The 13,246-nt window shown below is 38.5% G+C and overlaps 1 protein-coding gene across 13 annotated transcripts in view, besides 1 other annotated feature; it reads left to right on the top strand.

Annotated features, from left to right (window-relative positions):
• The window catches only part of SLC26A5 (solute carrier family 26 member 5), a 93,478-nt gene that overhangs the window by 62,731 nt on the left and 17,501 nt on the right, over positions 1-13,246 (top strand). For 4 of the 13 annotated variants that reach the window (NR_135801.2, NM_001167962.2, NM_198999.3 and 1 more), the window contains 6 exons: positions 2,928-2,997; positions 4,142-4,234; positions 4,924-5,031; positions 5,678-5,878; positions 6,615-6,669; positions 8,885-9,270. The exons of 2 other annotated variants lie outside the window; for them this stretch is intronic. Coding sequence is in view for 6 of the 11 variants with exons in the window: in NM_001167962.2 (NP_001161434.1) it covers positions 2,928-2,997; positions 4,142-4,234; positions 4,924-5,031; positions 5,678-5,878; positions 6,615-6,669; positions 8,885-9,078 (721 nt within the window). In the remaining 5 variants the exon portion in view is untranslated. Of the gene's footprint in view, positions 1-2,927; positions 2,998-4,141; positions 4,235-4,923; positions 5,032-5,677; positions 5,879-6,614; positions 6,670-8,884; positions 9,271-13,246 lie in introns of those variants that run through there. 7 more of the 13 variants (NR_120442.1, NR_120441.1, NM_001321787.2 and 4 more) reach the window with 5 other exon arrangements.
• Positions 2,590-2,877: a silencer, noted in NCBI's record as "fragment chr7:103021047-103021334 (GRCh37/hg19 assembly coordinates)". NCBI's record gives its function as "represses an EF-1alpha promoter that drives an FKBP-Casp9 reporter gene in an ReSE screen in phorbol 12-myristate 13-acetate-treated (for megakaryocytic differentiation) K562 erythroleukemia cells {active_cell/tissue: K562(+PMA)}" and the evidence as "EXISTENCE:reporter gene assay evidence [ECO:0000049][PMID:32094911]".

The raw sequence follows: 13,246 nt of genomic DNA, 5'->3' as shown, positions 1-13,246 counted from the left end.
TTTAGACTTGCAGAAATGGTGTGCCAGGGCACTGCAGGTCGTCAGGAAGGCCTGTTCATCATCTGCATTTGAAATCCTCATCCTTTGAGGCCCAGCTCACCCAGTCAGGGACCTCAACTTCCCCTGTGTACCCACAACAATGCTCTAATCCTTCCCTAGCACCTTGCGTGTGTCCATCTCAGCTACTCCTGTACTTGTGATCCATGTGCCCATCCCTTACTCTGCCTCCCCTGTGGCACTGGATTGCAACACATGGACAGCACTTTGAGTCTCTTAGAGGTTTTCTCATAATTGCAAACTCAGCTGAGAGCCTTAGCCCCTTATCTACAATCAGTCCTCAGAGCCATATTTGTCCACAGATATCACTAGATTGTGAGCATCTTGTTGGCAGAAGTGATGTTCCTGGAGTCTAGTACCAGGCACATCATTTGTGTTCTCTGAATGCTTATGGAGGAAATTTACCCAGCAAAACAGCTAACACTTGTGTAGTATATTCTAATTTACAAAGTCCTTTGACATTCATGCTAAGAAGCACCAGGACATAGTAGCAAAACTGTGGAATGTCAAATCAAAGACCTTGAGCCATATTCTGCCTCTGGCAAGCTGTCTGACATTGAACAACTTACCTAACCCCACTGAGCCTCAATTTCTCATCTACGTGATGGCAGGATTGTTAATAATGTTAACTATTATTATAATATTATTAATGTGCCCAGCAGCATTGTTCAAAGGATATAATAACAGGTGTTCAAGAAGTAGTATCTGTCATTATTACAGTATCTAATTTGAGCCAGATGGTCCTTTACAAAGAGTTAGGAATTAGGGGCAGGCACAGTGGCTCATGCCTGTCTGTAATCCTGGCACTTTGGGAGGCCGAGGTGGGTAGATGACTTGAGGTCAGGAGTTTGAGACCAGCCTGGCCAACATGGTGAAACCCTGTCTCTATTAAAAATACAAAAATTAGCTGGGCATGGTGGCGCACAACTGTAATCCCAGCTGCTTGGGAGGCTGAGGCAGGAGAATTGCTTGAACCCGGGAGGCGGAGGTTGCAATGAGCCAAGATTGCACCATTGCACTCCAGCCTGGGCAACAGGATAAGACTCCGCCTCAAAAAAAAAAAAAAAAAAAAAGGAAATAGGGCTCTCAAAAAATAATGTTTAAAATCTATTCAGACTAAATTAAGTTAACATCTATGCTAATTTGAGATTTTCATTTTCTCCCCACGCCCTCAATTGACTACTCCCCTACTATGAGTCAGTGATTCTTGCTAACAACAAACAAAAATTCCCTCTCCTACTTTAGAGTTAGAGCAGAAAGACAGTTCTGTCTACTGAGTGGCTTGAGGAGAACTTGTGTTACATATATCCCTGGCATAACTTGAACTCTGCGAAATTCAGCGTTGCCTCCACCTCTAAATGCCTGAACCTTTTCTCCTGACCAGATCGTGTTTGTGGTATGGTGTTGGGGGGAGGGGAGGTATAGGGTGTGTGATGTGCATCGTGAATGTGGTGTGAGGTATACGTGATGTGTGTGTGTGTGTGTGATGTGAAGTGTGAGGTGTATGTGATGTATGTATATGTGTGTGATGTGTATGTATGTGTATTATGTGTGTGTTGTGTGTGTGGTGTATATGCATGTGTGTGTTGTGTGTATTGTGTCTTGGATGAAGGTTGTATATGCATGTGTATATGTATATGGGTGTGTGTGTGTGTGTGGTATGAGGGGTATGTGGTGTGTGTATTGTGTATGGTATTGTGTGTGGCATGTAGTGGGGGTATGTATGCATGTGTCTGCACGTATGTGTATTATGTGTGTAGTGTGTGCATATATGTGGTATGTACGCATGTGTGGTGTGTGTATTGTATATTGCATGTGTGGTGTGTATGCATGTGTGTGTGTATATGTATGTAGGGGTGTGTGTGGTGTGAGGTATATGGTATGTGTGTATTGTGTATGGTATTGTGTGTGGCATGTAGTGTGTGTGCTGTGTATGCATGTGTGGGTGTGTATGCATGGTATGTGGTGTGATTGTGTATATTGTGTATGTGTGGTGTGTGTGTATTGTTTGTGTTTGTGTGTAGTGTGTATGCATTGTGTGTATGTATGTGATATGTGGGGTGATGTGTGTGTATATTGTGTTTATATGTGTGTGTGGTGTACATGCATTATGTGTAGATGTGTGTATTGTGTATGTGTGTGTGGTATGTGGGTGTGTATACATTGTATGTGTGTGTATTGCGTATGTGTGTGGGAGTGTGTATATGTGTGGTATGAGGTGTATATGGTATGTGTGTATTGCATATGTGTGGTATGTATGTGCATGGTGTGTATGCATGTGAGGGGTGTGCATTGCATAGTATATATGCAGTGTGTATGATGTGTATATGTGTGGTATGTAGTGTAGTGTGTGTATATTGTGTGTGATATGAGGTATGTATGTATGGTGTGTGTGCATTGTGTGTGTATGCATGTGTGTGGGGGTATGTATTGTGCATTATACATGTGGTATGTATGCATGTGTGTATGTATATGTGTGGTATATCGTATAATGTGTGTGTATTCTGTATGTGTGGTGTGTATGCATTGTGTGTAGGTATGTATATTGTGTATGTGTGTGGTGTGTGAGGTAGGTATTGGGATGTGTATGTGTAGTATGAGGTGTACATGGTGTGTGCGTATCATGTGTGGTATGTATGTGTGTGTGTGGCATGTGATGTGTATGTGGCATGAGGTGTGTGGGGTGTATTAGGCTTGGAATGGCACTGGGAACGTGATATGTGTGGAGCCCTTCTGCAAAGGCACCATGTAAGGATCAAGCATTCCCAAATGCACCAGCAAACCCCAACCTGACATAAACATACACAACCTCCTGTTGAAATCACACGCTGTGCCTCAACACAATGGTATTTAACACTCTTTATCTTCAGTCCAAGCTACAAAGTCCTTGGAAAGCTTCCTGAAACTGATGTGTATATTGATATAGACGCATATGAGGAGGTAGGACCTTTTTCTATCACTTAAAAAGGTTGTAAGCATGTGATGTGCTTGGCTAAGTACTGTTTTTACCCAGGATAAAAAGTAGGGGTAAGATGGGAGGTATAGTGGTCAAAGTGAAAAGTCTGAGCTTTGATCTACTATATGGATTCAATTTTATAATTTATACTATGCATTAACTACTCAATTTCCAATATTTATTTTTCCTCATTTTTAATGGGGATAAATATATATTGTTGAAATTAAAGTATACATTTATACAGTATTGAAACTGAAAGGATGGTTTGTGTGTGCATGGTTTTTTTCTGATGAATGTATAATGGTAAAATAATTTTAACCATGTAAAATGTAGATGGTGGGGCTGTGGAATTCTCCCACTTCATTTGAATGGTTAAAATTACAGCTTCAGATTTCCTTGATTTTGAGTGTTCTTTTCTTCTGTGGAATATCGAAGATTTTTACAAAATCTTTTAAAACTAGTTTTGTCTGTCGGTCTTGTCTTATGCTTGGGAAGAAATTCTCAGACTCACTTTAAGGTATTAGGATATGAGGAAACAAAATTCACTCTAAGGTAAAGGTGTTAGAATTGCTATATTTTTCCTCGATCCAAAGAAGTATATGCAACATTGCTTGTTTCCAGCCTGCCTCCTAGAGTTCCACAAGGGTTCTTGATAAAATATTCACTCAGTTTCACTTGTGTCCATTTAAGCTCCTTCCTGCTTCTGTGAATCAAACCAGTGTAAACTTCTGTTCACTTTATTTGCCTGCCTCTCACAGTCTGGGCAGCAGCCTTCCATCTCCTGTCCATTTTCTTTTCTGTTTTTGAGTATTTTTCAGTTTCTTCTTTGTGTTTAATGGTAAAAATAAAACGAAGACTGACTTTTAAAACAAATGGAAAGATGTGCATGTTAAAAAGGTCTCTGTCAGTTCTCTTCCATTCAGAGCATGAGTAGATAAGAGTGACTTTTTTTTTCTTTTCTTATCTTTTTTTTTTTTTTTGGTCTGTGTGTGACATCATTTTAGCTAAGCCCTGAAAAGGGGACCTTAGCAACTTCTGCATTCATTTTCTATTTGGGGTGGGGAAGCTATGCAGTTTTGATTCTGAAATATTTCCATGTGTTAAATTCAGCAATATTTTACTCTTCAGGTGAAAGAAATTCCTGGAATAAAAATATTTCAAATAAATGCACCAATTTACTATGCAAATAGCGACTTGTATAGCAATGCATTAAAACGAAAGGTGAGTCATGAGAAATTGATTATTTCTGAGGATGGGATTTGTGGGTTGACAGGGATATGAGGATCACTAGTATACCTTTGTATATACTATTTCATTCTCGCTTTGTTTCTCTCTCTTTTATTGTAGTAAAATATACATAACATAAAATATACTATTTTAAGCATTTTCAAAGTATACAGTCCAGTGGGTCGCATTAAGTACATAAACATTGTGCAGCCATCACCATTGTTCATTCTCTCTTATCGTATATATAATATTACTTTTCAAACAAAATTTTAAGAAAACATGAGAAAATAATTTTAGGTTTCTTATTCTTGGGATCATGTAGATTCCTTTGGTCATGTTTAGAACTCAACCCTACACCACGCTGTATATAGGAAAAGCTCCCTGTCAACCCACAGAGTCTCTTAAATATAACAACCTGACAGATCTGAACTTGAAAAAGACTGCTCTAAAAATTGTCTTTAATATTTTAGCTTCTGGTTGTCTTGAATAAAGACTGAGAATAAGAAAGGCTACTAATGTAAGGGAGTAACCAGTTCAGGGCCTCTGAGGGAAAGGCAGTGCAAGGGTTGGGGTGATAATCTGACCCAGAAAGCAGTTAAATGGGGAGATTTGAAGGGGAGTGGCATTGGGGTGGGTCCCTGAGAGCCATGAAGTGATTTTGCATATGGTGCTCTTCTGTAAAGACTGGAGTGAACCCAGCAGTCATCATGGGAGCAAGGAGAAAGGCCATGCGGAAGTACGCTAAGGAAGTCGGAAATGCAAATATGGCCAACGCAACTGTTGTCAAAGCAGTGAGTGGTCTTTTCATTGAAATAATCCGTTCTGTCTTGTTCTGCAATGCCCTCCATCTTTACTCATGACTGAAGTTTAAACACAGCACGAAGTTACTAAAAGAGGAAAGTTTAGAAACCACCTTAGTATCCTCTATATTTTACAAGCACCTGATAAGGTCAGTTATGAGGCTGTTTCTGAAAAAAGTAAGGAAAACATCATTTTAAAAAATAAAAATTACACAATACCTTAACAGATTTTACCATTAGCACTTTGTCATAGATTTATTCAGCTGATAGTTTAAAAAGCTCAAAGGTGGCTTTTGCTGTTCAGGCATGCTAATGTGTGACCCATCATACTAAAGTTAATGGAACTATTTTAGACTTTAGCAGAAAATGGATAGGATAACTGAGGAGAGTGGATTTTGTTGGACAAGAAAAAAAAGGAGGAGAAGGAAAAAGAGAGAAGTTGACTTAAAATGGAATGTTATACATACATCCTTTTTTTGTTCAGTTACAAGGCTAGAATATGACAAATATTTTACAAGGGGTCTGGTAGAGTCAGTAGCTTAAGAACACAAGAGCAGATTTTCCATTATAAATCTTTCTCACAACCAGAAATGTGAGTTGTTCATAAAATTCTGGTTTGGTTTAATTTTTGACACAGGATGCAGAAGTAGATGGAGAGGATGCTACCAAGCCTGAAGAAGAGGATGGTGAAGTAAAATATCCCCCAATAGTGATCAAAAGCACATTTCCTGAGGAAATGCAAAGATTTATGCCCCCAGGGGATAACGTCCACACTGTCATTTTGGATTTCACTCAAGTCAATTTTATTGATTCTGTTGGAGTGAAAACTCTGGCAGGGGTAAGCATCCTCTTGAACGAGTCATTTAATACCTCTATGCCTGGTGTCGTACTATCAGCATAATCAGGGAGGTGGGCTAGGCTCTCTTTTCAACAAAAGATTTATCCCCTTTTGATTATGGAAAATTTCAAAAATATATAGAAGTAAAGATTTTAGTATATTGAACCCCCGTGAACTATCACTCAGCTTCAACAATGATCAATTTATGGTCAATCTGGTTTCCTTTATAGCTGACATTCACTTTCTCTTGTTTTATTTTGAAACACATCCCAGTCATAACATCATCTGTAAATATTTTAATGTGTATTGCTACAAGAAGATTCGTTTTAGAAAACATTACTGTAATATGCTAGGCTACTCAGGAGGCTGAAGCAGGAGGATTGCTGAGCTCAGGAGTTCAAGACCAGCATGAGTAAACTAGTGAGATGCTGTCTCTAAAAAAAATCGTTTTTTATTTTGAAATTATAATATCCTTTAAGTTAATATAATAGTTTTATTGTACTTAAGTAAGATTTAACAGTATTTTTGCTACCCCTAATTATCACTGTCCACATAAAAAGCAAAAGAGATACAAAATTATTTTTAACTGATTAGCTCAAAAATACATCATTATTGAAGCAAAGTAGCTCAAGTGAATGAATTAGAGTGTCTTCTATCACGAAAAACATTGGTAAAAAGAGACTTTCATCTGGCACAGAGTAAAGAGAAACTAAATTTTATTTCAACATTATTACAGATTGTAAAAGAATATGGAGACGTCGGTATATATGTATACTTAGCAGGATGCAGTGGTGAGTATACCTCTAAGATGGGGTGAAGCTTAATATTTTAGTTTTGTTTCTCTTATTTAAATAATTGCACTTGGAAATGTCCTTAATTTTAATTATTTTATAAAAATGAAAATTGTTCTTCTGAAAAATCACTCTAAAGCCAGCTTTGAAATTAGCCACATGGAGGCATTCATATTACAAGTTACTTGTGACAACCCTCCTGAACTGGAGTTGGAGGAAAGGAGCCAATAAGCCATCATTTATTATAATATTAATGGCTGCTATAAATATAGTAATTATAATATATACATGACCACAGTAGCAATTATCTAATGGCTGCCATAAACAGTTACATATAATCATTCAGGTTGCTTGTTTCTCTATCCAATCATTTGGGAATACTTTGCCTGCTATTTTTGTTTTATATTACATTTTGGTTAAAACAGTGCTTGAGGCCGGGTGTTGTGACTCACACCTGTAATCCCAGCACTTCGGGAGGCCAAGGCAGATGGATTGCCTGAGCCTAGGAGTTCAAGACCAGCCTGGGCAACATGGCAAAACCCCATCTCTACTAAAAATACAAAAATTAGCCAGACATGGTGGCGCATGCCTGTAATCCCAGCTACTCGGGAGGCTGAGGTGGGAGGATGTCTTGAATCTGGGAGGCAGAAGTTGCAGTGAGCCAACATCACGCCACTACACTCCAGCCTGGGCAACAGAATGAGACCTTGTTTCCAAAAAAAAAAGAAAGAAAATGATTTTTTAGAAAAGGAGCCCGGCGTGGTGGCTCACACCTGTAATCCCAGCACTTTGGGAGGCTGAGGCAGGCGGATCACCTGAGGTCAGAAGATCGAGACCATCTTGGCTAACACGGTGAAACCCCATCTCTACTAAAAATACAAAAAATTAGCCCGGCTTGGTGGCGCATGACTTTAGTCCCAGCTACTCGGAAGGCTGAGGCAGGAGAATCGCTTGAACCCAGGAGGCGGAGGTTGCAGTGAGCCGAGATTGCACCACTGCTCTCCAGGCTGGGTGACAGAGTAAGACTCCGTCTCAAAAAAGAAAAGGAAAAAAAAAAAGTAAAACAGTGCCTGAGGCTGGGTGTGGTGGCTCACACCTATAATCCCAACACTTTGGGAGGCCAAGGTAGGAGGATCGCTTGAGCCTAAGAGTTCAAGACCAGCCTAAGCAACATAGTGAGATCCCATCTTTATTTAAAAGAAAAAATAATAATAATTTTAAAAAGTGCTTGAAAATGAAATCTTCATAAAGATGCTACTTTTCACCTGTAAGATTGCCAAAAATCAAAAATAAATGACACCATGCTCCATAGGCATATGATGGGAAAACAGGCTCTCTCAGACATTACTGACGGGAGCACAAAATGCAACAGCCCCTATGGAGGGCAGACTAACATTAGCTTTCAAAATTATAAGTGCATTTACCTTTCAACACAGAAAATCCAGCAATATGCTGCATATGTTCAAAATGACACTTGTATGTCGTTGATCATCACAGCATTGTTATAAAACAAAAAACTCAAGTACCAAACAAAAGGGACTAGTTAAATAAACTAGGGACATCTATACAATAGAATACGATGTAGTGGTAAAAAAATTAAGCAAAAAGGGTTCAGAATTATCTATATATAGTTTATATATATATATAACATTAATCTATATATTTCCCACTTTTCTTATCCCCAAAACAGCATTTTATATATATATGTATATATATGTGTGTGTATATATATATTTATATATGTGTGTATATATGTGTGTGTGTGTGTGTGTTTGTGTATATATTTTTTCCCCACTTTTCTTATCCCCAAATATATAAAATATGCTGTTTTGGGGATAAGAAAAGTGGGAAATAAGAATACATACTTATATTTATTTATATTTACATAGAGAAATCCTGGAAGAACACACAAGAAAGTAGTTTCCTGGGATTGAGGTTATGAAGGGTGGAGACATGAATTGGAGTGAAACTTTTACTATAGCATTTTAATATTTAAACTATATGTGCTTGAACGCAGGAGTTGGAGGTTGCAGTGAGCTGAGATCACACCACTACTCTCCAGCCTGGGTGACAGAGTGAGACTCTGTCTCAAAAAAAAAAAAGAAACAAAAAACAATAACAAAAAAAAAAACACTATATGGAAGTGTTACTTTTTTTTAATTGTTGAAGACTGATATCCAGAGTGTGGACTAATTTTCTTTTCTTCTTTTAATAGCACAAGTTGTGAATGACCTCACTCGGAATAGATTTTTTGAAAATCCTGCCCTATGGGAGCTGCTGTTCCACAGCATTCATGATGCAGTTTTAGGCAGCCAACTTAGAGAGGCACTTGCTGAACAGGAAGCCTCGGCTCCCCCTTCCCAGGAGGACTTGGAGCCCAATGCCACTCCTGCCACTCCTGAGGCATAGATGAGGACCTCACCCTAGGATGGGGTTATAAGCCTCTCATGAAGTTCATAATTTACACGTTTTAAATACTAGACGCTAGATTTTTTTTTCTAAGGGTGAATACTAGTAGTCCAGGCTTGATTTGGAGGGTGAATGACGCCTAGCAAGATGTATTGTACTTGTGTTTTTTTAATTGAATACTTCAAAGATAAATTGGCCTGTTGCCTGCATTTATTATGGAGAGACATTTCTGCTACATTCTAGTATTATCTTTGTAAGCTAAGCATCGAAAAATTTATTTCAGTCAAGTATTTTACCCACAAATAAGATATTACATAGTGGTTCTTTGTTTTTGTACTTGTTGATCTACAGATAAGTAGTGGTTCTTTGTTTTTGTACTTGTTGGTCTACAGACTGTCTATAATCAGTTATCTAACAGAAGACAGGAACTGCAATTTTCTAGAAGTTCTTGTTTTAAAATAACCTTTTATTTATTATAGAAGCAGTATAAATGCATTGAGGACATTTTAAAAAAGTAGACAAGCAAAAATAAGAACATAAAACATATTTCCACCACTCAGAGATTACCACTGTTAATATCCTTCCAGATCTTTTTCCATACATATACATTTACATTTTTAACCAAAGTAAGACCACATCTATAGTGTTTTATAACCGATTTTTCTTTAATCAACAATCTCCACTTTCTCATTCCAGCACATTTTTGATCTTAGACCATATTTAAATTTCCCCAATTGTCCCCAGATTTGCAGTTGGTTTGTGCAAACTGATATTCATTCTATGACCTTACATTGCAACTGGTCATGTCCTTTAAAGTCCCTTACATCTATTTTAATCTAGCACAGTTCCTTTTTTATGACATTGACTTGTTAAAGAGACTGGGGCAGCGGTCCTGTAGAATCCTGTCTTGTGAATTTGCCTAGTTTCTTTTTCATGGTGTTGTTTAACTTGTTTTTATATTGCCTGTACTACCTGCAATCTGGAAGTTATATCTAAAGCCTTTATAGGTTCAAGTTAAAACATTTTGTGCTAGATTATATCATAGATAAGATACATGCTTCATATCGCATCACTTCAGAAAACGTAATATCTAGTTGATCTACCATTAACTAATCTATTGATCTAAGTTTGATTACTGGATCAGCATGACAGTCTGATCATCCAGTTAGATTTTTCCCCTTTGTGACTACAGACTTATCTGTGTGGTATTCCTTTGGCATTGAATGAATTACCATTTACCCAGGAGTTTTAACATTAGGTGGTAATTCTTGCCTAAATCATTAACTTTGTTAAAGTTTGTGAGTTGGTTGTCTAGTTCTTTCATTTCTTCTCCGTTTGTTAGTTGGTTATTCTATGTGAACTAAGCTTTCCCTTCTCCACTTGAGCTATTTGGTCATCCTTACCTACAGTTCTACCAGAAGGGCAGGTTGAATGCTTTATTATTTTCATTTAATTATCAACTTCAAAGTAAATAACTGGTTTATTAGATGGTGACAAATTAGTGTTTTTTTTTTTTTTTAGATTTCCCTTTTCTGGTGTGATGGTGGTCTTGTGAATTTTTATAGTTTTAATGGGTTTCAATCCATTATGTTCTTTTCGATGCTCAAATTGTCACAACTGTGGCCAGTATAAGTCCTTAGAAACTTTGCTATTGTTGCTAATCATGAAGTAGCATTAAAGACCATGTTTTTAAGAAAACTAACCCCCACATATAACTTAAATCTTCCTTAGAAGTTCATAACAGCTATCAGTTCATTATACATCAAACTCAGTGTTCAGCCTAGGAGTAAGCATAATGCTCATCTTACTCATTCCACAGAAACATGGAATGTCAAAGGTTGGAGGAGGATACCTTTAAACCAATTTGTCACTTTCAGTTGTTTGTAATTACCAGCTCACTACAAATCAAAGCACAGGCATTAGCCAACCTGTCTAAAGCCTCCTCTGCTAAGAGTTCCTGCTGATAGTGAGTTTGTCTTTTCTTTAATATGCTGTCTTATTGACATCTTGTTATAGCTTTCATGAATAAGATACTGCCAGGAGAAAGTAGTCAGATCCCAGTAGAATTGTTAGCATGGCCTACTTGCAACCAAAGCCTGTGGTGTATGTGTTGATGTTAACTCCTATCAGATTTCTCACTCTCTTTACTAATTTAATTCAAAATAAACTCCTCCTTTTAATCAAAACTTTAACTAATTCTAGAGTGAAATTTAGATTGGCTTAGTTATTTCCTTTGCAATCATCACGAGATCAGATACATCTGCATTCTGATACGGACTGCCTTCTGAAAGAGCATGTAGTTGCAGAACCTCAGCTTACACTAGAAACTTTTGTAAACGAGCTAATATCATTTCAGCCATTTAAGTAGAATTTAAGGATTTTAAACTATGTTATAAAATACTTCGGCCAGGTGCGGTGGCTCACGCCTGTAATCCCAGTACTTTGGGAGGCCAAGGCGGGCAGATCACAAGGTCAGGAATTCAAGACCAGCCTGGCCATCATGGTGAAACCCTGTCTCTATTTAAAAATACAAAAGTGAGCTGGGCATGGTGGCGCGCACCTGTAGTCCCAGCTACTCGGGAGGCTGAGGCAGGAGAATGGAATGAACCCAGGAGGCGGAGGTTGCAGTGAGCCGAGACCACGCCATTGCACTCCAGCCTGGGTGTCAGAGCAAGACTCCATCTCAAAAAAAAAAAAAAAAAATTATTGCACATTCTTTAGCACCAGCCTTCCACTTAGCAGATACTATGGTTGATAGATTGACAGTAGTGTACAGGCCAGGCGCAGTGGCTCACGCCTGTAATCCAGTACTTTGGGAGGCCGAGGCAGGCAGATCACGAGGTCAGGAGATTGAGATCATCCTGGCTAACATGGTGAAACCCCGTCTCTGCTAAAAATACAAAAAAATTAGCCGGGCGTAGTGGCGGGCGCCTGTAGTCCCAGCTACTCGGGAGGCTGAGGCAGGAGAATGGCGTGAACCCGGGAGGCGGAGCTTGCAGTGAGCCGAGATCGCGCCACTGCACTCCAGCCTGGGCGACAGAGCGAGACTCCGTCTCAAAAAAAAAAAAAAAAGTAGTGTATAAAAAAAGGTATTTGTCTTATACATTTGTATTTAACTTTTCTGTTGAACTTTTAAACTGTTTTGAATAGAATTGTTATGTATATTAAAAGCACAAGTCTTAAGGTGGGAAAATATATTTTTGTTTTATCACTTTGCTTAGCATCTGAGAACGAGTGCATTTCAAAATACATTTCATCCATATGTAAATACGTCAGAATGTTTTACTCAATTATTTCATACAGCAAAAATTTCCTGACTTTTTTGTCTTACAGTCTCGTCTCTGGCTTTCAAGGAAATAATATATAAGCCCACCTGTTCTTTCTGGGCCTTAATAGCTGCTACTGTATCTTCTATGTTTTTCCACCCTGATTCAAATTCAGGTTCATATTGTCCTATCAAAATGGGCATAATCTACATAATCTAAGCACTAGCCTTATTTTATGGCAATATATGGGAAAGCACTGTTTTGAAGAAGGTCCCATAAAGAAAAGTCCTTTGACCTTCTGAAATCTCGTGCAGTATGACAGTGGTTGATCTATGTCTCATGAATCGTTGGAATATGTTTGAAAACATTTGTGAACCAGGGCCCAGGAAACTCCAATCTATGTCTTAGACACTGACTCTGTATTAGTATATGGCAGCTGATAATGGGATCCCAATTGCCAATCTCATCTGCAGTGGAACCCCAAGAAACTGTTAAGGGTATGGATCCTCTTCAAGCCCTGGAATAGCTCATTTTGTAGTTGCAGGAAACATCTAAAACATCCACTCTGTGTGGTTTGATCCTGTGTCCTTACCTGTTTAGCAGAGAAAGACAGTACCAGCCTCTGAGTGTACACTTTGAGAAAATGAGTCTGCTCTCTTGCGTGGATGAAGAAAAGAGAGGGTAGCAAACCTAGTGAATCTGTCCTGGGGTGGGTGGGTGTGTTTTTGTGTGTGTGTTGGGGGGGTGGGGGTGTGCCCTTGTGTGGGGATGAGGGAGGGAAGAGCAGGTGGTGGGGAAGGCTCTTTTATGTCTGCCCCTTTAAAGATAGTAAATCAATTTAAATTCTAAAATGAAACCGAACTTCCTTGGTGTGAGCCTGTATGCTTTACTGAGTGCAAAAA

This window comes from Homo sapiens, chromosome 7 (assembly GCF_000001405.40).
Source record: "Homo sapiens chromosome 7, GRCh38.p14 Primary Assembly".
Lineage (NCBI taxonomy): Eukaryota > Metazoa > Chordata > Mammalia > Primates > Hominidae > Homo > Homo sapiens.
This window is presented reverse-complemented; position numbering and strand designations above follow the sequence as displayed.